We start from the raw sequence: 22,751 nt of genomic DNA on the forward strand, positions 1-22,751 counted from the left end.
TTCAACTCTATCTTGTGGTTTAAGGTCATCTTGTATAATATGTACATATTTAGGATTGTTATGTCCTCTTAGTAGATTGATACTTTTATCATTATGTAATATCCTTCTTTTTCTGTAGTAATTTTCTTTGCTCTAATGTCTACTTTGTCTGATATTACAGCCATTCTTGTGTTTCAACATTAATGTTTGCATGGTATATCTTCTGCCATCCGTTTACTCCAAAGGTACCTACATTGTTGAATTTGGAGTAAGTTTCTTGTAAATAACATATAGTTGCATTGTTTTTTATTTACTCTTGCTGATCTCTGTCTTTTAATTGGGGTTTTTAGGCCATTTACATTTAGGGTAATTATTGATATTTTAGGGCTTAAATCTACCATTGTATTACTGGTTTTGTTTGTTTCTTGTTTCTTTTTCTTTTTTTCCCTTCCTGTGCATTACTTGAAAAAATTTTCTACCATTGTATTACTGGTTTTGTTTGTTTCTTGTTTCTTTTTCTTTTTTTCCCTTCCTGTGCATTACTTGAAAAAATTTTAAGAGTCCATCTTTTTATATATATATATATATAATATATATAATAGATATAAAATATATAAATTATATATATAAAAATATATAATATATATAAAATAGATATTATATATAAAATAGATATATATAAAATAGATATATATAAAATAGATATATATAAAATAGATATATATAATATATAATATATAAATATATATTATATATAAATATATAAATATGTATATATATTTGTATATAAATATGTATAAATATATATTTGTATATAAATATGTATAAATATATATTATATATAAATATGTATAATATATATTTATATATAAATATACATAAAATATATGTATATATGTGTGTGTGTATATACACACACACACACACACACACCTACATGATGTCTTATTTTTTTTAAACAACACCTGTACTCCAGATAAATATGGTCAAAATAAATGAAAAACTCAAGATGACATTATTCCCATTTGTCTAAAGGCCGGGTGTTGTGTAGATGATAAGCACCTGCCATTTATGATGACAGGTGATAGATCCAAAGTAATTGCCAGATTTGTTAATTTTTTTCCATTTCTAAATCATCCATAAAGAAAATCACATATAGGGTCACATCATCCTTACAGTAGTTTAGCAGAGCAACTGTGCCATCTAGATTGATGTTTTCACCAGTAAAGGACTGGTAGTTTTTGAAATTAGCAAGTATGTGCTTGATTTGTTCTGCAGCTTCTGCCATAAAAGGTTTTACTCTTTCTGGTCTTCATTCTTCAAGTTTGCCTTTGATTGATTTAATGTAATCTTTCATATACATCTTGTAGGCTTCTTTTATGAAGCCAGCTTGCTGCAAGTGATGGTTCATGACAATATCAATACCAGTGATTACTGTGCTTTCAGTACCTTCACCCTTGGGTCCTTCAGTAGAGGCATTTCCACCAATGAGCAAGTCATCAATATTACCCTATGTCTTACTGACCATCTTCCTCTCCCCCTCCAGGCACAGCCTGTTTGCAGTATCTCAGATCTTGTAATTGTCAGAGATAATCATGATGGTGGCTGGAGGTAGATGATAGCAGTGCTCGCTTATAGCAGAAGCCTGGAGCTTGGAGCAAGTATGGTGCAGTTGGAAAGGCACTCCAGGGAATAGGAAGCATCCAGAAAAGTATATTGTGTTTTTGAGTGTATTGCCTCTTACAGTTTTCCTAGTGGTTGGTTTGGGTATTACAATATACATATGTGGCTTATTACATTCTAGTGATGTCAGCATTTCACCATTTTGAGTGAAGTATAGAAACCTCACTTCCTTTGAGGTTCCTTTATTCTCCCCACTTTTAAATATCATTGTCTTGAGTATCAGATGGTGGTGTAATTTTGGTTTGGATCATCATATATGATTAGAAAACTCATGATGAGAAGGATAGTCTGTGGTATTAGTCATATTTCTGTTTTTTTCCATTGTTATTTCTTCCTTCCTGATGCTCCAAGACTCCTTTAAAAAATTATTTTCTTTTTGTTTGAAGTACTTCCTTTAGCCACTCTTTAAGATTGTGTCTAGTGACAAATTCCTTTCGTTTTCCCTTATTTGAGAACATCTTGATTTCACTTTCATTACTGATGGATAGTTTTACTGGACATAGAATTTGTGGTGGTTGAGAGTTATTTTCTTTTAAAAGTTGAAAAATGTGCTACTTCCTTCGGTCTCCATAATTTCATATGATAAACGTTTATCATACAAGGTAGTATTTCTTATAGGTAGTGTTTTATTTCTCTGTGGTTGCTTTCAAGATTTTTTCTTTGTCTTTAGTTTTCCCAAACATCTTTTTTCATTCCTTTCCTTTTTTTTTTTTTTTTTAAGATTTTTTTCTATTTGGGGTTTGCACATCTTCTTTAATCTTCTTCAAAATTTGGGAACTTTTCAACCATTATTTTCTTAAACTTTTTTTTATTAAATTTCTCTAGATTTAGGGAGAACAAGTGCAGTTTTGTTACACAGGTATATTGTTTAATGGTGAAGTCTGGGCTTTTAGTGTAATTTTGAACAGTGTACATTGTACTCATTAAGTAATTTCTCATACCCCACCCCTTTCCCACCCTCCCACCTTTTCGAATCTTCAGTGACTTTTATTCGACATTCTGTGTCCATATGCACATTTTATTTAGCTCCTACTTATAAGTGAGAAAATGCAGTATTGGGCTTTCTGATTTTGAGTTGTTTCACTTAAGATAATGGCTTCCGATTCCATCCATGTTGCTGCAAAAGATATGATTTTATTCTTTTTTATTGCTGAATATTCTGTTGTATGCATGTGTGTGTACATATGTATGTATGTGTATATGTGTACTCACACACATACATACACACCACCGTTTCTTTACTCACTCATCTGTAGTCACTATTTTAAAATACTCCTTTAGCCCCATTATTTTTTTCCTTTTCTTCTGAGACTCTGAAAGTTGGATCTTTTGTTATTGTCTCACAGGTCCTTGAGGCTCTCTGTTCTTTTTTTTTTTTTTTTTTTTGTCTGTTTTCTCTCTGATCAGGCTGAGCAGATTGTATTGATCTGTTCTGAAGTTCACTGATTTTGTCTTCTGTCATTTCTGTCATTTCAATTTATCCCATCCAGTTTTAAGATTTCGGTTATTGTACTTTGTAGTTCTGTAACTTTCATGTGATTCTTTTTAATAACTTTTTTCTTTGCTGAAATTTCTTTTTATTTACCTTAGAGAAATTATAATTGTTTGTTGAAGCATTTTATGACCATTGCTTGAAAGTTCTTGTCAGATAATTATGTGATTCATTGTGGTGTTGATTGCAGTTTCTCGTTGAAGTTGTGGTTTTCCTGGTACTTTGTATGACAAGTGATTTTTAATTTTATCTTGGACATTTTGGATACTATTTTAATAGATTCTGGGTCCTACTGAAAATTTTATTTTAGCAGGCAGTCACCTTGTTTAGGTTTAAACAGAGGTCCTGGACTACTTTTTGAACTGTGGTTTTAACGACAATCTAATTTTCAGAAACTTTTCAGTTATATTTTGATCTGCTTGAGTTGTTGCGTGCTGCTGGGCCTCCAGTGGTCCCTGCTGATGGTGTTTGAGGGAATGAAAGGAACTTTTCAAGGCTGAACTGCCTGGTGCTTCTAAGTATGGGAATGGAGACCCTGGTCTATGGGATGAAGCTTCTTGAGCTGGGTGCTAGTTGTGGCAGGATCTCTCCTTTCCTATGACCGATGCAGAATACCTCCAGAACCATCCCTTGTTATGGTGGGATCCCCCTACTTATGGGTGTCAGAGTGTATTTACTGGACCAGCTGCTTGTGGTGTGGTTTTCCTTTGTTGGTGCCTGTGGCCTCGTTGGTGTCTCAGGTGGTGCTGCTGCTGAGGATGGTGAATGCTTCCCCTGGCTGCTTATTGACAGGGAGGTTTCCAGTTGAACCTTCTTGCTGTTTCTTCTGGCCTCACATGGTGGTGTTGATGGCAATCCTATTAAATTCAAGAGAAGAATGAATCTACCTGGGCTGCTTTCTGTTGCAGGCTTAGGAGTTGGGAAACATCAGATCTGGCTCACTTATTTTTTTTTTTTTTTCAGTTGGGAGGGTTATAAGACAACCTGTTACTATGTTGTTCCTCTAGTCCTGGGGTCTTCAACTAGTTTTTCTTCCTTTTTTAAACCTTTCAGTGTTTTCCTTTGGTTATATTTTATGGTATTTTCAGGTTTTATAATTGTACTTAATGGAGAGGAACAGGAAGAGACCAAAAGCCCTTTTGCTCATTTTTTAATTGCAATGGGTGGAACTTATTTGGATCTGGATTTAAATAAACTAAAAAAGTAAACTAATTTGATATGAGATTACTCAAATTTTGAAAGCTAGGTATTTTGTATAAAAGTATTTTTCCTATAATGATATGATTGTGTAAAAATAAAAGACTGTCTCTTAGAGATATGTACTAAGATATTTATAGGTGAAATTATGAAATACATAGGATTTGCCTCAAAGATAATATATATGCGTTTGTTCATAGGGTAAGAGTGGTCATTGGCTGATGGTTGTTAGGGCTAGGGGATGAATATGTGGGACTCAGAATACCTTTGTGTATGTAAAAAATTCTCCATGTTTTTAAATTAAATTTAATTAATTTATTTTTTGCATCCCCCTGATTTCTGAAGTTTTTTTTTAAGTTTAGCTTATATTTCTTGAACAAAGTTTAGATATTATGGTAGAAAGAAACTTGCCTGATTTATTTTCTTTGTACCTAATTTTTGAGTATTGGTGAGGCTAACATAATATAGGCTACCAAGTTCTAACACGTTTTCTTATAAGGTGAGGAAATATTAAAGTGTTTATAGTGTGTACATCCCCTCTGATCGGTACTTTAGGAGCCCCAGGAACCATTTGGTTGCTTGTAATTAGAATGAAAGTGCTTTTACCCTGTAAGAGAGTTAATGTGCTTTCTTTAAGTAAGCTCTTTTCTAGTCACCAGGATCTGAAGTTCCAGAGTTGACTCTTCTATAGATTGGCGTATTAATACATTGGACATTTATTCATTCTTACTTTCTTTCACAGCTTTCTGTTCAAAATCAGGAGTTTGAGATAAATAAAGATGGAATCCCCAAAGTGGATCAGTTTCATCTGGTATGTGACCTTTTTGACATTTACTGGTTTGAAACACATGCAGTAATATAAACTTAGATATCTGACTGAAAGTTGTCCTCCAGTTTTTCTAAGAATCCAAATTAACATTTGCAATAAATGAAGTATTGAAAAAAATTCAGGTGCCCTACTTAACACCACTTAATTAATACACCAGGGTTACTCTGCTGGGTTGTTTGTCACACAGATTATATAAATAATCTAACAATTAGGGAAGAATATTGTTTACTATGTGTTTCAAGATCATATTATAGTAAAATAATGTTTTATTATAACTTAGTTTTTTGTAAGTACCTAACTATATCTTTGTCATTCACATATGTATTCAGCCAACATATTTTGAGTAGCTATTTCTGTGATAGGAATTGAACCAGGTGCTAGGATTACAAGGATTGTGGCATTGAGAATGAAATGAATAATTTAGAAATGTGAACAAGTAAGTGATTAACATCTATAAGTTGAGTAATTAGCAAGTACTTTGGGGGTACTCCATTTACCCTGATTTGATTATTACACATCATATGCTTGTATTAAAATATCTCATGTACTTCATAAGTATGCCCATAAAGATTTAAAAATAATGAAGCCCCTAAAAAAAGTACTTGGGGGGAAGCTGATTTTTAGTTCTGCAAAGAAAGGGGGAATTCAGTATGACTAGATATAAAGAGGATAAATATGGCAGTAAATGAGTCTATAAGAGTATAATGATCAGACTCTGGAAGTTCTTAGCTATTTTGAGTTAAGATTACAATGAAAGAGTACATATAATTTTGTTAAACTCAGTAGTTCCTTATTTGACCACACAAATATTGTATAATACCTTCTAATGTCCCACGAAATCATTTTAAAAAAACATACCTTAGAAATGATATTAAGGAGCTTTGCCACACTTCTTGGGTAGCAGTAAAAAGCATTTCAGACAACTTTTGTGAGATTATAAAACTTTGTGTTACACTTCCTGATTATCTCTGTGGAAGGGGATAACAAAGAAGGTTGACTATGGTTTACAGTTTTGAAAAGGCTATGATAAAAATTTATTGCTATTAGATAGAAAAATACCAGAAATTCTGTATTAGAGGTTACAACTTCACCAAAAGTGCACATCCAGAACCCTTGCTTTCAGGTTTGATAGAAAAATTACCTTGTACCAAGTTATCCTGAAATTTAGTTTAAACTTAAAACTTATATTACAGTTTCGTGAGTCAGGAATCTGGACACAGCTTATTTGGGATTTCTGCTTCAGTTAATTTAAGGTTGCAGTTAAGATGTTGGCTGGGCTACAGTCATCTTAAAGCTCGATTGGAGATGAATATGCCTCTAACCTCACATGTTTGTTCATAGGATTCTGTTTCTTTCAGTTTATTAGAATGAGGACCTCAGTTGTTCTCTAGTTGTTGGCCAGAGGTTGCCCTCAATCCTTTGCCCTGTTTCCATCATGGCAGCGTGTTTCATTGAAATGTATACGCAGAGAAGGCAGTAGACTCTGTTCACTAAGACAGAAGTCACAGTTTTTCATAGCAAAATCATATAAGTGATATCCCATAGTTTTTGATAGTATTCTCTCTAAAGCAATTCTCTAGGTCCAAGAGGAAAGAATTATGTAAAGTTATGAATAACAGAAGGTTGGGGTCTTGGGGCAATCTTAGAAGTCTGCTTACTCTAAAATGTAATCTGGCCAGGCATGGTGGCTCACGCCTGTAATCCCAGCACTTTGGGAGGCCGAGGTGGGCAGATCAACTGAGGTCAGAAGTTCAGGACCAGCCTGCCCAACATGGTGAAACCCTGTCTGTACTAAAAATACAAAAAAATTAGCTGGATGTGCTGGCGGGTGCCTGTAGTCCCAGCTACTTGGGAATCTGAGGCAGGAGAATCACTTGAACCTGGGAGGCAGAGGTTGCAGTGAGCCGAGATTGTGCCATTGCACTCCAGCCTGGGCGACAGAACAAGACTTTGTCTCAAAAAAAAAAAAATAATAATAATAATCTGCCTGTAATCTGCAAGTAATCATGCCTTGCTAGGCATGCAGCTAGGTATATGTATAATGAAAGTAAATGTAAATACACAGTCCCCGTTTAATGTGGGTAGCTACTCATGGATTCAAGGATTGTGGCATTGAAAATGAGATTAATAATTTAGAAATTTGAACAAGTAAGCAAGATTTATAAATTGAGTAATAAGCAAGTTCAAATTATAAAAATCTTGGCTTGTATAGTATTTGCTTCTGTGATCTGAGTCAGTTATTAGTGCTGGGAATGGAATTACCTTTACCTACATTTTGTGTTCACACATAGCTGCAAAACAAGTCAAGGCTCTGTAGTCAGCACCTTACAGATACCATACCACAAATGGAGAAGAATATAAATGTATGGAACCATGTAGTTGAGAGAGTTATTAGAGGATAATTAATACACCCTTCTCATCCTTCAGAATCCCTCCAATAATATCCCCAAGAGATGGCCTTCAGCCTCTGCTTAAGTAGAGTAATGCTGATTTTGGTAGTTTGTGTCTAAAAGTTGGTCCATTCCATTTAAGTTATCTAGCTTGTTGGCATACAGTTGTACATATTTTCTTTATAATTATTTTTATTTCTCTAAGTTCAGTAGTGTCCCCTTTTTCATTTCAGATTCTGGCAGTTTCAGTCTTCTCTCTTTTTTTTCTTCGTTAGTCCAAATAAGTTTAAATACCTAGCTTTTGGTTTTATTAATTTTTCTGTATTGTTTTTCTGTTGTCTATTTTCTTACTTTCTAATCTTTATTATTTCTATCCTTCTGCTTGCTTTAGATTTAGTTTACAACATATATTACACAGTTATCACACCTTATAAAATTAACAAATTGTAATATTATATTTAAATTTCCCTAATTGTCTTAAATATATTTTTAAATGGTTGCTTTTTTGAAATTAGCATATCAACAAGATCTACCTGTATTGGGTTAATATATCTCTTAATCTCTGTTGAGCTATAAAGTTCCCCCACAACTCTTTTTCTCCATGCCATGTATTATGTGAAAAAAATGATTTCATTTTCCATACTTTGGAGTTGGCTGATTGCATCCTTATGGTATTATTTCATAGTTCTCTTTTCCCCAGTTGAAAAAAGTGGTAGATACAGAGGTTAATTAAATTTACATTCAGTTTTTACAGGCAGTATATTTTATATTATTGTGTCATATGAGGGGGATCATTTGGTGTTTGATTGTCACAGTAAGATTGATCAGTGTGTTCAGGCAGAAAATTTTGTATGTACAGGGGTATATTTTTAGTTTTTCTATCCCATTGGTTTGTTTATTCATATCCCAGTGCCTCACTCATTTAACTAAAATAGACTTTATAGTAGCTTTTTAATACTTATAGGGCTAGTTCCTTCTTCACTGCTTTTTTGTTTTGTTAAAAAAAAAAACAACAAAAAGCAACAAAAAAATAAAGTCCGAAGTCCCAGGTTGGAGTGCAGTGGCACGATCTCAGCTCACTGCAGCCTCTGCCTCCCAGGTTCAAGTGATTCTCGTGCCTCAGCCTCCCGAGTAGCTGGTACTACAGTCACATGCCACCACACCTGGCTAATTTTTGTATTTTTAGTAGAGATGGGGTTTTGCCATTTTGGCCAGGTTGGTCTTGAACTCTTGACCTCAAGTGATCCACCTGCCTCAGCCTCCCAAAGTTCTGGGATTACAGGTGTGAGCCACTGCTGGCCCTCATTGCTATTTTTAAAATCAGCTTTCATGGCTATTCTTGGTTGTCATTCTTCTAAGACATCTTTATAATTAACTTGTTTGGTCTCAAGGAAAAAAATTATATTTTTATTGGATTAATATAAACTTTTTAAGTCAACTTAGGGAAAATTGTCCCATTTGTTATGAGAGTCATTTTTGTTGAAGACCATAATAAGACTTTTGTTCCTGATCTACTTTTGTGGTTTTCAGGAGCATGTGTTATTTTTTCTCATTTGGATTTTGTAATATTTAATTGTTTGCACCTAGGGAAGGTAACTATCTTTAAATGTTCTTAAAAACATATTCTGTAGAGTACAGACATTGGCATTCATTCATTTATCAAATATTTACTGAATGTCTGCTATATTCAGATACTGTTTTTTGCTACTTTCTGGAGATGAAGTGACAAACTAAAATTTCAAATCTTAAGGATCTTAGAGTGTAATGCAGACACTAGCAGTAAACAGATGATTTCTTTCCTTTTTTTTTTTTTTTGAGACAGTCTTGCTTGGTTGCCAAGGCTGAAGTGCAGGGGCACGATCTCAGCCACTGCAACCTCTGCCTCCCAGGTTCAAGCGATTCTCCTGCCTCAGCAGCTTGAGTAGCTGGGATTACTGGCATGCGCCACCATGCCCAGCTAATTTTTGTATTTTTGGTTGAGACAGAGTTTTGCCATGTTGGCCAGGCTGATCTTAAACTCCTGGCCTCAATGATCCACTTGCCTTGGCCTCCCAAAGTGCCTGCCTGACCAGCAGTTAAACAGATTATTTTTATTCAGTCTGATATGTGCTTTGGTTGGAGTAATCATAAGAGGCAAATAAAAGGTATACTAAGGTGTCAAATAATGGAATAGCAACATTACAGGATCATTTACATGTTCTAATACAAATAATGTCCTTTGAAATGGAGGGATATAATAAATTCTAGCTCCCATAATGATGGTGATAATGATAGCAGCAGTAGAGGTGATCCTAGAGAGTGATCACTTAAAAACCAAAACCAGAAATAGTTGACTAGATGAAGAAATTTACCCTTCCAGACAGAGAAGCTTCAGTGTGACATTTTAATAGTGTCAAATTCTGACCAGTACCTTGTTAAAAGAGGGAGAAGGAAGTAATAAAATTTATTTGTTCGTATTTCACTTGTTTTTGAGAGATTTCAGCTATGATTTTTTTCCTTTTACACTTTTTCCCCATAATTCAATTCCATTGTTTCAGTATTGGAGGCATTCCATTTCACCAAAAAGTACAGTCGTCCCTCTGTATACACAGGGGATTGGTACAGATAAAATCTACGCATACCCAAGTCCTACAGTTGGCCCAGTGGAACCTATGCATATGAAAAATCAGCCCTTTGTATCTGTGGGTGTTGAGTCCTGAGAATACTGTGTTTTTGATCTGTTTGGTTGCAGATGTGGAAACTGCAGATAGGGAGTGCTGACTGTACTTACTTATTTCATATTGATACATAATATTTGTACATATTTATGGGGTATATGTGATATTTTGTAACTTGTATGGAATGTGTTAATGACAGTCGGTATTTAGGGTATCCATTATCTTATTTATTATTTCTATGTTTTGGGAACATATCAAGTCCTCTCTTCTGGCTATTTTGAAATATTTAATACATTGTTAACTGGAGTCATCCTACTCTGCTATCAATCACTAGTACTTATTTCTTCTGTCAACCTGGTTGTTTGTACCCATTAAACAACTCTCTTCACCCCCTTCCACCTCACCCACATTCTCTTAGTCTCTGGTATCTGTCATTCAACTCTACCTCTATGAGATCAACTGTTATAGCTCCGACATATGAGTGAGAACATTTGATATTTGTCTTTCTGTGCCTGGCTTATTTCACTTTACAGAATGACTGTTCCATCCTTGTTGCTGAAAATGACAGAATTTAATTCCTTTTTTATGGTTGAACAGTATTCCACATTTTCTTTATATTTCTTTAATAGTGTTCCACATTGTCTTTTTCCATTTGTCCATTGATGGACGCTTAGGTTGGAGTCCTTACCTTTGTAATTGTGAATAGTGCTGCAGTAAACATGGGGGTGCAGGTTTCATATACTGATTTCCTTTTTATTTTGATGAATATCAAATATTTTGACACTTAGGTTGAGTCCTTACCTTTGTAATTGTGAATAGTGCTGCAATAAACATGGGGATGCAGGTTTCATATACTGATTTCCTTTTTATTTTGATAACTATCAAGTAGTGGGATTACTGGATTGTATGATAGTTCCATTTTTAGTTTTTTGGAAAATATTTGTACTATTTTCCATAGTGGCTATACTAATTTACATTTCCACTAACAATGTATAACAGTTTCCTGTTCTCCACATCTTTGTGGAGATTTTTCAAAATAGTATTTGGCTATTTTTTGTCATTTTTTAAAATAGTGGCATTCTAGCTGATGTAAAATGATACTTCATTGTGGTTTTGATTTGCATTTCTCTGATGATTAGTGATGTTGAGCATTTTTCATATACTTATTGGTCATTTGTATGCCTTCTTTTGAGAAATGTCTATTTATGTCCTTTGCCCACTTTTTAATGGAATTGTTTTCCCTGTCGAGTTTCTTGTATATTCTGGATATTAGTCCTGTGTTGGATGAATAGTTTGCAAATTTTTCCTTCAATTCAACAAATTGTCTCTTACACTCTGTTGATTATTTCCTTTGCTGTGCAGAAGCATTTTAGTTAAGTATAGTCCCATTTGTCTCTTTTTGTTTTTGTTGCCTGTGCTTTTGAGGTCTTAGCCATAAAAATCTTTGCCTAGGCCAATGTCATGAAGTGTTTCCCTTATGTTTTCTTCTAGTATTTTTATAGTCTTGGGTTTTACATTTAAGTCTTTAATCAATCTTGAATTGATTTTTATATATGGTGAGAGGTGAGGGTCTACTCTTACTCTTTTGCGTATGGCTATCCAGTTTTCCCAGCACCATTTATTGAAGTGGGTGTCTTTTCCCCAGTATATGTTCTTGGTGCCTTTGTGGGAAATTGGTTGGCTGTTTATTTCTGGGGTTTCAATTCTATTCTATAGGTGCATATATCTATTTCTATACTAATAAAACGCTGTGTTGGTTACTATAGCCTTGTAAGATATTTTGAAGTCAGTGTGATGCCTCCACCTTTGTTCTTTTTGCTGATAACTGTTTTGACTATTTGTGCTCTTTTTTAGTTCTACATGAAATTTAGGATTTTTTTCTATTTATGTGAAAAATTACATTGCTATTTTGATAGGGATTGCTTTGAATCTGTAGATTTCTTTGGGTAGTATGGGCATTTTAACAATACTAATCTTCTGATCCAGGAGCATGGAGTGTCTTTCCATTTGTTAGTGTCCTTTTCAGTTTCTTTCATCAGTGTTTTGTAGCTTTCTTTGTAGATATCTTCCACCTCTCTGTTTAAATTTCTTCCTAGGTAATATATTTATTTTGTAGCTGTTGTAAATGGGATTACTTTCTTGATGTCTTTCTTAGCTAGTTCATTATTGGTTTATAGAAATGCTACTGATTTTTACATGTTGATTCTATATCCTGCGATTTACTATATTAATCAGATCTAAAAGCTTTTTGGTGGAGTCTTTAGGTTTTTCTAGATAGAAGATTATGTCATCTGCAAAGAGGGACAGTTTGACTTTTTCTTTTTCTTTTTTTATTATTATTATACTTTAAGTTTTAGGATACATGTGCACAACGTGCAGGTTTGTTACATATGTACACATGTGCCATGTTGGTGTGCTGCACCCATTAACTCGTCATTTAGCATTAGGTGTATCTCCTAATGCTGTCCCTCCCACCACCCCACAACAGTCCCCGGTATGTGATGTTCCCCTTCCTGTGTCCATGTGTTCTCATTGTTCAGTTCCCACCTGTGAGTGAGAATATGTGGTGTTCGGTTTTTTGTCCTTGCGATAGTTTGCTGAGAATGATGGTTTCCAGCTTCATCCATGTCCCTACAAAGGACATGAACTCATCCTTTTTTATGGCTGCATAGTATTCCATGGTGTATATGTGCCACATTTTCTTAATCCAGCCTATCATTGTTGGACATTTGGGTTGGTTTCAAGTCTTTGCTATTGTGAATAGTGCCGCAATAAACGTATGTGTGCATGTGTCTTTATAGCAGCATGATTTATAATCATTTGGGTATATACCCAGTAATGGGATGGCTGGGTCAAATGGTATTTCTAGTTCTAGATCCCTGAGGAATTGCCACACCGACTTCCACAATGGTTGAACTAGTTTACAGTCCCACCAACAGTGTAAAAGTGTTCCTGTTTCTCCACATCATCTCCAGCACCTGTTGTTTCCTGACTTTTTAATGATCACCATTCTAACTGGTGTGAGATGGTATCTCATTGTGGTTTTGATTTGCATTTCTCTGATGGCCAGTGATGATGAGCATTTTTTCATGTGTTTTTTGGCTGCATAAATGTCTTCTTTTGAGAAGTGTCTGTTCATATCCTTCATCCACTTTTTGATGGGGTTGTTTGTTTTTTTCTTGTAAATTTGTTTGAGTTCATTGTAGATTCTGGATATTAGCCCTTTGTCAGATGAGTAGGTTGCAAAAATTTTCTCCCATTTTGTAGGTTGCTTGTTCACTCTGATGGTGGTTTCTTTTGCTGTGCAGAAGCTCTTTAGTTTAATTAGATCCCATTTGTCAATTTTGACTTTTGTTGCCATTGCTTTTGGTGTTTTAGACATGAAGTCCTTGTCCATGCCTATGTCCTGAATGGTATTGCCTAGTTATTCTTCTAGGGTTTTTATAGTTTTAGGTCTAACATGTAAGTCTTTAATCCATCTTGAATTAATTTTTGTATAAGGTGTAAGGAAGGGATCCAGTTTCAGCTTTCTATATACGGCTAGCCAGTGGTCCCAGCACCATTTATTAAATAGGGAATCCTTTCCCCATTGCTTGTTTTTGTCAGGTTTGTCAAAGATCAGGTAGTTGTAGGTGTGTGGTATTATTTCTGAGGCCTCTGTTCTGTTCCATTGGTCTATGTCTCTGTTTTGGTACCAGTATCATGCTATTTTGGTTACTGTAGCCTTGTAGTATAGTTTGAAGTCAGGTAGCGTGATGCCTCCAGCTTTGTTCTTTTGGCTTAGGATTGACTTGGCAATGCGGGCTCTTTGTTGGTTCCATATGAACTTTAAAGTAGTTTTTTCCAATTCTGTGAAGAAAGTCATTGGTAGCTCGATGGGGATGGCATTGAATCTATAAATTACCTTGGGCAGTATGGCCATTTTCTCGATATTGATTCTTCCTACCCATGAGCATGGAATGTTCTTCCATTTCTTTGTATCCTCTTTTACTTCATTGAGCAGTGGTTTGTAGTTCTCCTTGGAGAGGTCCTTCACATCCCTTGTAAGTTGGATTCTTAGGTATTTTATTCTCTTTGAAGCAATTGTGAATGGGAGTTCACTGATGATTTGACTCTCTGTTTGTTTGTTATTGGTGTATAAGAATGCTTGTGATTTTTGCACATTGATTTTGTATCCTGAGACTTTGCTGAAGTTGCTTATCAGCTTAAGGAGATTTTGGGCTGAGATGATGGGGTTTTCTAGATATACAATCATGTCATCTGCAAACAGGGACAATTGGACTTCCTCTTTTCCTAATTGAATGCCCTTTCTTCCTTCTCCTGCCTGATTGCCCTGGCCAGAACTTCCAACACTATGTTGAATAGGAGTGGTGAGAGAGGGCATCCCTGTCTTGTGCCAGTTTTCAAAGGGAATGCTTCCAGTTTTTGTACATTCAGTATGATATTGGCTGTGGGTTTGTCATAGATACCTCTTATTATTTTAAGATACATCCCATCAATACCTAATTTATTGAGAGTCTTTAGCATGAAGCGTTGTTGAATTTTGTCAAAGGCCTTTTCTGCATCTATTGAGATAATCATGTGGTTTTTGTCTTTGGTTCTGTTTATATGCTGGATTACGTTTATTGATTTTCATATGTTGAACCAGCCTTGCATCCCAGGGATGAAGCCCACTTGATCATGGTGGGTAAGCTTTTTGATGTGTTGCTGGATTCGGTTTGCCAGTATTTTATTGAGGATTTTTGCATCAATGTTCATCAAGAATATTGGTCTAAAATTGTCTTTTTTGGTTGTGTCTCTGCCCGGCTTTGGTATCAGGATGATGCTGGCCTCATAAAATGAGTTAGGGAGGATTCCCTCTTTTTCTATTGATTGGAATAGTTTCAGAAGGAATGGTACCAGCTCCTCCTTTTACCTCTGGTAGAATTTAGCTGTGAATCCATCTGGTCCTGGACTTTTTTTGGTTGGTAAGCTGTTAATTATTGCCTCAATTTCAGAGCCTGTTATTGGTCTATTCAGAGATTCAACTTCTTCCTGGCTTAGTCTTGGGAGTGTGTATGTGTCGAGGAATTCAACCATTTCTTCTAGATTTTCTAGTTTATTTGCGTAGAGGTGTTTATAGTATTCTCTGATGGTAGTTTGTATTTCTGTGGGATCACTGGTGATATCCCCTTTGTCATTTTTTATTGCATCTATTTGATTCTTCTCTCTTTTCTTCTTTATTAGTCTTGCTAGCAGTTTATCAATTTTGTTGATCTTTTCAAAAAACCAGCTCCTGGATTCATTGATTTTTTGAAGGGTTTTTTGTGTCTATATGTACTTCAGTTCTGCTCTAATCTTAGTTATTTCTTGCCTTCTGCTAGCTTTTGAAGGTGTTTGCTCTTGCTCCTCTAGTTCTTTTAATTGTGATGTTAGGGTGTCAATTTTAGATCTTTCCTGCTTTCTCTTATGGGCATTTAGTGCTATACATTTCCCTCTACACACTGCTTTGAATGTGTCCCAGAGATTCTGGTATGTTGTGTCTTTGTTCTCGTTGGTTTCAAAGAACATCTTTATTTCTGCCTTCATTTCGTTATGTGCTCAGTAGTCATTCAGGAGCAGGTTGTTCAGTTTCCATGTAGTTGAGTGGTTTTGAGTGAGTTTCTTAATCCTGAGTTCTAGTTCATTGCACTGTGGTCTGAGAGACAGTTTGTTATAATTTATGTTCTTTTACATTTGCTGAGGAGAGCTTTACTTCCAAGTATGTGGTCAATTTTGGAATAGGTGTGGTGTGGTGCTGAAAAGAATGTATATTCTGTTGATTTGGGGTGGAGAGTTCTGTAGATGTCTATTAGGTCCTCTTGGTGCAGAGCTGAGTTCAATTCCTGGATATCCTTGTTAACTTTCTGTCTTGTTGGTCTGCCTAATGTTGACAGTGGGGTGTTAAAGTCTCCCATTATTATTGTGTGGGAGCCTAAGTCTCTTTGTAGGTCACTCAGGACTTGCTTTATGAATCTGGGTCCTCCTGTATTGGGTGCATATATATTTAGGATAGTTAGTTCTTCTTGTTGAATTGATCCCTTTAACATTATGTAATGGCCTTCTTTGTCTCTTTTGATCTTTGTTGGTTTAAAGTCTGTTTTATCTGAGACTAGGATTGCAACCCCTGCCTTTTTTTGTTTTCCATTTGCTTGGCAGATCTTCCTCCATCCCTTTATTTTGAGCCTATGTGTGTCTCTGCACGTGAGATGGGTTTCCTGAATACAGCACACTGATGGGTCTTGACTCTTTATCCAGTTTGCCAGTCTGTGCCTTTTAATTGAAGCATTTAGCCCATTTACATTTAAGATTAATATTGTTATGTGTGAATTTGATCCTGTCATTATGATGTTAGCTGGTTATTTTGCTTGTTAGTTGATGCAGTTTCTTCCTAGCCTTGATGGTCTTTACAATTTGGCATGTTTTTGCAGTGGCTGGTACCTGTTGTTCCATGTTTAGTGCTTCCTTCACGAGCTCTTTTAGGGCAGGTCTGGTGGTGACAAAATCTCTCAGCATTTGCTTGTCTGTAAAGTATTTTATTTCTCCTTCATTTATGAAGCTTAGTTTGGCTGGATATGAAATTCTGGGTTGAAAATTCTTTTCTTTAAGAATGTTGAATATTGGCCCCCACTCTCTTCTGGCTTGTAGAGTTTCTGCTGAGAGATTCACTGTTAGTCTGATGGGCTTCCCTTTGTGGGTTACCCGACCTTTCTAAACTCTGGCTGCCGTTAACATTTTTTCCTTCATTTCAACTTTGGTGAATCTGACAATTATGTGTCTTGGAGTTGCTCTTCTTGAGGAGTATCTTTGTGGCATTCTCTGTATTTCCTGAATTTGAATGTTGGCCTGCCTTGCTAGGTTGGGGAAGTTCTCCTGGATAATATGCTGAAGAGTGTTTTCCAACTTGGTTCCATTCTCTTCGTCACTTTGAGGTACACCAATTAGACGTAGATTTGGTCTTTTCACGTAGTCCCATATTTCTTGGAGGCTTTGTTCATTTCTTTTTATTCTTTTTTCTCTAAACTTCTCTTCACACTTCATTTCATTCATTTCATCTTCCGTCACTGATACCCTTTCTTCCAGTTGATCGCGTCGGTTACTGAGTCTTGTGCATTCGTCATGTATTTCTCGTGCCATGGTTTTCAGCTCCATGAGGTCCTTTAAGGACTTCTCTGCATTGGTTATTCTAGTTATCCATTTGTCTTATTTTTTTCAAAGTTTTTAACTTCTTTGCCATTGGTTCGAACTTCCTCCTTTAGCTTGGAGTAGTTTGATCTTCTGAAGCCTTCCTCTCTCAACTCGTCAAAGTCATTCTCTGTCCAGCTTTGTTCAGTTGCTGGTGAGGAGCTGCGTTCCTTTGTCGGAGGAGAGGCTCTGATTTTTAGAGTTTCCGGTTTTTCTGCTCTGTTTTTTCCCCATCTTTGTGGTTTTATCTACCTTTGGTCTTTGATGATGGTGACGTACAGATGGGTTTTTGGTGTGGATGTCCTTTCTGTTTGTTAGTTTTCCTTCTAACAGTCAGGACCCTCTGCTGCAGGTCTGTTGTAGTTTACTGGAGGTCCACTCCAGACCCTGTTTGTCTAGGTATCAGCAGTGGTGGCTGCAGAACAGTGGATACTGGTGAACCACAAATGCTGCTGCCTGATCGTTCCTCTGGGAGTTTTGTCTCAGAGGAGTACCCGGCTGTGTGAGGTGTCAGTCCACCCGTACTGGGGGGTGCCTCCCAGTTAGGCTACTCGGGAGTCAGGGACCCACTTGAGGAGGCAGTCTGCCTGTTCTCAGATCTCCAGCTGTGTGCTGGGAGAACCACTACTCTCTTCAAAGCTGTCAGACAGGGACACTTAAGTCTGCAGAGGTTATTGCTGTCTTTTGTTTGTCTGTGCCCTGCCCCCAGAGGTGGAGCCTACAGAGGCAGGGAGGCCTCTTTGAGCTGTGGTGGGCTCCACCCAGTTTGAGCTTCCCAGCCACTTTGTTTACCTACTCAAGCCTGAGCAATGGCAGGCACCCCTCCCCCAGCCTCGCTGCCGCCTTGCAGTTTGATCTGAGATTGCTGTGCTAGCAATGAGCGAGGCTCCTTGGGCGTAGGACCTTCCGAGCCATGTGCCGGATATAATCTCCTGGTGTGCCGTTTGTTAAGCCCATTGGAAAAGCGCAGTATTAGGGTGGGAGTGACCCGATTTTCCAGGTGCCATCTGTCGCCCCTTTCTTTGACTAGGAAAGGGAATTCCCTGACCCCTTGCGCTTCCCGGGTGAGGCGATGCCTCGCCCTGCTTCAGCTCACGCATGGTGCGCTGCACCCACTGTCCTGCACCCACTGTCCGGCACTCCCCAGTGAGATGAACCCGTTACCTCAGTTGGAAATGCAGAAATCACCCGTCTTCTGCGTCGCTCACGCTGGGAGCTGTAGACTGGAGCTGTTCCTATTCGGCCATCTTGGCTCCACCCCCTGACTTGTTCTTTTTCAATTTGGATTCCTTTTATTTTTCTTGCCTGATTGTTCTGACTAGGACTTCCAGGACTGTGTTGAAGAGAAGTGGTGAAAGTGGAGATCCTTGTCTTGTTCCAGTTCTTTAGAGGAATGTTTTTCTTTTTCTTTCTTTTTTTTTGTTTTTCTTTTTTTTTGAGATGGAGTTTCGTTCGTGTTGCCCAGCTGGAGTGCAGTGGCGTGATCTCAGCGCGCTGCAACCTCCACCTCCTGGGTTCAAGCAGTTCTCTTGCCTCAGCCTTGCCAAGTAGCTGGGATTACAGGCGCCCGCCATGATGCCCAGCAAATTTTTTTTTTTTTTGTATTTTTTAGTAGAGACGAGGTTTCACTGTGTTGGTCAGGCTGATCTTGAACTCCTGACCTCACGTGATGTGCCCACCTCGGCCTCCCAAAGTGATGGGATTACAGGCGTGAGCCACTGTGTCTCACTAGAGGATTGCTTTTCTTTTCCCCATTTAGTAATGATGTTAGCTGTGGCTTTGTTACAGATAGGCTTTATTTTGTTGAGGTGTGTTACTTATATACCTAGTTTGTTGAGAGCTTTTATCATAAAGGGATGTTTTAATCTATGAAATACTTTTTCTGTGTCTATTGAGATCGTTTGCCATATGGTTTTTGCTCTTTGTTCAGTTGATGTGATGGATCATGTCGCTGATTTGGGTGTGTTGAACCATCCTAGCATCCCTGGGATAAATGCTAATTAATCATGGTGTATTATGTTTTTGATGTGCTGTTGGATTCGGATTGGTAGTATTTTGTTGAAAAATTTTGCATCTGTGTTCATCAGGGATACTGGTCTATAGTTTTTTGTTGTTGTTGTGTCCTTGTCTGGTTTTGGTATCAAGGTAATGGTGGGCTGGGCCTTGTAGAACAAGTTAGGGAGAATTCTCGCCTCTTGAACCTTTGCAGTAGTTTGAGGATAATTGATGTTAGTTCTTTGAAAGTTCAGTAGAATTCAGCAGTGAAGCTCTGTGGTCCTGGACTTTTCTATGTTGGGAGACTTTCTCTTACTGACCAAATCCCGTTACTTGTTACTGGTCTGTTCATGTTTTCTATTTCTTACTGATTCAAACCTGGTAGGTTGTATGTGTCCAGGAATTTATATATTTCCTCTAGGTTTTCCAGTTGTTCATGTATAGTTATTCATAATAGTCTTTATGTTTTGTATTTTTTTGTTTGTTTGTTTTGAGACAGAGTCTCCCTCTGTTGCCCAGGCTGGAGTACAGTGGTGCAATCTTGGCTCACTGCAAGCTCCGCCTCCCGGGTTCATGCCATTCTCCTGCCTCAGCCTTCCACGTAGCTGGGACTACAGGCGCCCGCCACAACGCCTAGCTAATTTTATGTTTTGTATTTTTGTGATATCAGGCATAGTGTCTTCTTTTTCATTTCTGATTGTGTTTATTGCAGCTTTTTTAAAGTTTTAGTACAGCTAGCAGTTTATTGATTTTGTTTATCTTTTAAAAAAATTTTTTTTGTGGATCCTTTGTATTTTTTTTAGTGTATTTCACTTAGTTCTGCTCCCATCGTTATTCTTCGTTTTCTACTAATATGTATCAGGTTGTTTATTTGTAATCTTACTCCTTTTTTGATAGAAGAATTTATTGCTATAAACTTCTCTTTTCTCACTGCTTTTGCTATATCTCATCAGTTTTGTTATGTTGCTTTGATTTTCAATTGTTCTAAGACATTTTCTTATTCCCTCTTTAACTTCTTCCTTGAACCAGTGATTGCTCGAAGACATTTTCTAATTCCCTCTTTAATTTCTTCCTTGACCCAGTGGTCATTCAGCAGCACGTTGTTTAATTTCCATGTTGTGTGTGTGTGTGTGTGTGTGTGTGTGTGTGTGTGTTGTTTTTGAGCTGGGGGTCTCACTCTGTTGCCCAGGCTGGAGTGCAGTGGTGTGATCTCATCTCACTGCAACTTCTGCCTCATGGGTACAAGCAATTCTCCTGCCTCAGCCTCTTGAGTAGCTGAGATTATAGGTGTCTGCCACCACACTCATCTAATGTTTGTATTTTTAGTAGAGACGAGGTTTCACCATGTCAGCCAGGCTGGTCTCAAACTCCTGACCTTAAGTGATCCACCTGCCTCCACCTCCCAAAGAGCTGGGATTATAGGCATGAGCCACCGTGCCTGGCCAATTTCCATGCGTTTGTATAGTTTTCAGTTTCTCTTGTTGATTTTTAGTTTTCCATTGTGGTCTGAGATGATACTGGATATGATTTTAATTTTAAAACATTTTTTGAGCTTTGTTTTGTGGCTTAAGATATGGTCGTTTCCTATAGAATGTTCCATATGCTTATGAGAAGTATGTGTATTCTGTTGCTGTTGGGTAAAGTGTTCTGTAAATATCTGTTAGGTTAATTTGGTTTTTAAGTGCAGTGTAAAATCAGTTTTTTTAAAATTAATTTTCTCTCTAGATTATCTGTCTAGTGGTGAGAGTTGGGTGGAGTCTGTTTCTCCCTTTAGATCTAATAATATTTGATTTATATATCTGGGTGCTCTGTTGTTGGATCCATGTATATGTTTAGAATTGTTACATTCTCTTGCTGAATTGATCCCTTTATTATTATATAATGACCTTCTTTGTCACTTTTTGCTCTTTTTGACTTAAAGTCTGTCTTACCTGATACAAGTATAGTTACACCTGCTTGCTTTTGGTTTCCTTTTGTATGGAACATCTTTTCCCATCTTTTTGCAGCATACAATTGGGTCATTTAAAAAAAAGAAAAACTCCTTTCAACCAGTCTATATCTTTTAGGTGGAAAGTTTAACTGGTTTACATTCAAGGCTGTCATTGATACATGCATGAGGGTTAATTTCTGTCATTGTATTAATTGATTCTGGTTGTTTTGTGTATCTTTTGTTTCTTATTTTCTCTCTTATTCATTGTGGTTTGGTGGTTTTCTGTCGTGGTAACACTTGAATTATTTCTTTTATTTGTGTGTTTGTTTTACCAGTGGAGTTTATATGTGTTTTGTAATGGTAGATATTGTTCTTTCACTTCCAAGTATACAACTCTCTTAGTAGAGACGGGGTTTCACTGTGTTGGCCAGGCTAGTCTTGAACTCCTGACCGCAGGTGACCTCAGGTGATTCCCCCCACCACGGCCTCCCAAAGTGCTGGGATTACAGGCATAAGCCACTGTGCCCAGCCAGATGATCTATTTGCAGTGTGATTATCGGCTCATTATTTTGGTGTTTTTTTTTGTTGAGGGGAGTACCAGATACCTCGTCAGTCATCTTGAAACCCCTCCTTCCTGACTGTATTTATTGAAAAAATAAGTCCACTTCCTTCTTCATTACAGATTTGTCCTTTTGTTCCTTTGTTTTGTAACACCTGTTTTTCCTTGCAGGATGATAAAGTCAAATCCCTCCTCTGTAGCTTGATATGTTATAGAAGTTCAATGACTGCTGAACAAGTTTTAAATGCTGAATGTTTCTTGATGCCAAAGGAGCAATCAGTTCCAAACCCAGAAAAAGATACTGAATACACCCTATATAAAAAGGAAGAAGAAATAAAGACGGAGAACTTGGATAAATGTATGGAGAAGACAAGAAATGGTGAAGCCAACTTTGATTGTTAAATTATTATTGTTGTTGTTGCAGAGGTTCTTTTTAAAAACTTTGGTTTGGTTAATACACAGAAATATCTAGAAATGTTCTGGGACTAGTTGAGTTGTATCTTTAGTATTCAGGTTGTGAAAAATAAAGATGTTTGGCTATGCACAAAATAGTTTGTATGCTTTGAACTTTAGTTTACTTGGAGTTTGATATGGTTTGGCTGTGTCCCCACTCACATTTCATTTTGAATTGTAATTCCCATAATCCCCACGTGTTGTGAGAGGGACCTGGTGGGAGGTAATTGAATCATGGGGGCAGGTTTTTCCCATACTGTTCTCATGGTAGTGAGCAAGTCTCATGAGATCTGATGGTTTTATAAAGGGGAATTGCCCTACACAAGCTTTTTGCCTGTTACCAGTAAGACATGCTGTTACTCTTCCTTCACCTTCCACCACAAT

General features: G+C 37.0%; 1 protein-coding gene and 1 pseudogene across 9 annotated transcripts in view, besides 1 other annotated feature; one reads left to right on the forward strand and one right to left on the reverse strand.

The window, feature by feature from the left end:
- The window catches only part of STK31 (serine/threonine kinase 31), a 122,432-nt gene extending 99,969 nt beyond the window's left edge, over positions 1 to 22,463 (forward strand). For 8 of the 9 annotated variants that reach the window (NR_048542.2, XM_011515452.4, XM_011515449.4 and 5 more), the window contains 2 exons: positions 5,094 to 5,162; positions 22,086 to 22,463. Coding sequence is in view for 8 of the 9 variants with exons in the window: in XM_011515452.4 (XP_011513754.2) it covers positions 5,094 to 5,162; positions 22,086 to 22,316 (300 nt within the window). In the remaining variant the exon portion in view is untranslated. The remainder of the gene's footprint in view (positions 1 to 5,093; positions 5,163 to 22,085) is intronic. The other variant, NM_001260505.2, reaches the window with a different exon arrangement.
- On the reverse strand, positions 1,189 to 1,592 carry TPT1P7 (TPT1 pseudogene 7; annotated as a pseudogene).
- Positions 17,843 to 18,343: an enhancer, noted in NCBI's record as "H3K4me1 hESC enhancer chr7:23867512-23868012 (GRCh37/hg19 assembly coordinates)". NCBI's record gives its function as "activates a minimal SCP1, AML or CMV promoter by ChIP-STARR-seq in naive H9 embryonic stem cells {active_cell/tissue: H9 hESC(naive)}" and the evidence as "EXISTENCE:reporter gene assay evidence [ECO:0000049][PMID:30033119]".
- Positions 22,464 to 22,751: the final 288 nt, after the last annotated feature.

This window comes from Homo sapiens, chromosome 7 (assembly GCF_000001405.40).
Source record: "Homo sapiens chromosome 7, GRCh38.p14 Primary Assembly".
Lineage (NCBI taxonomy): Eukaryota > Metazoa > Chordata > Mammalia > Primates > Hominidae > Homo > Homo sapiens.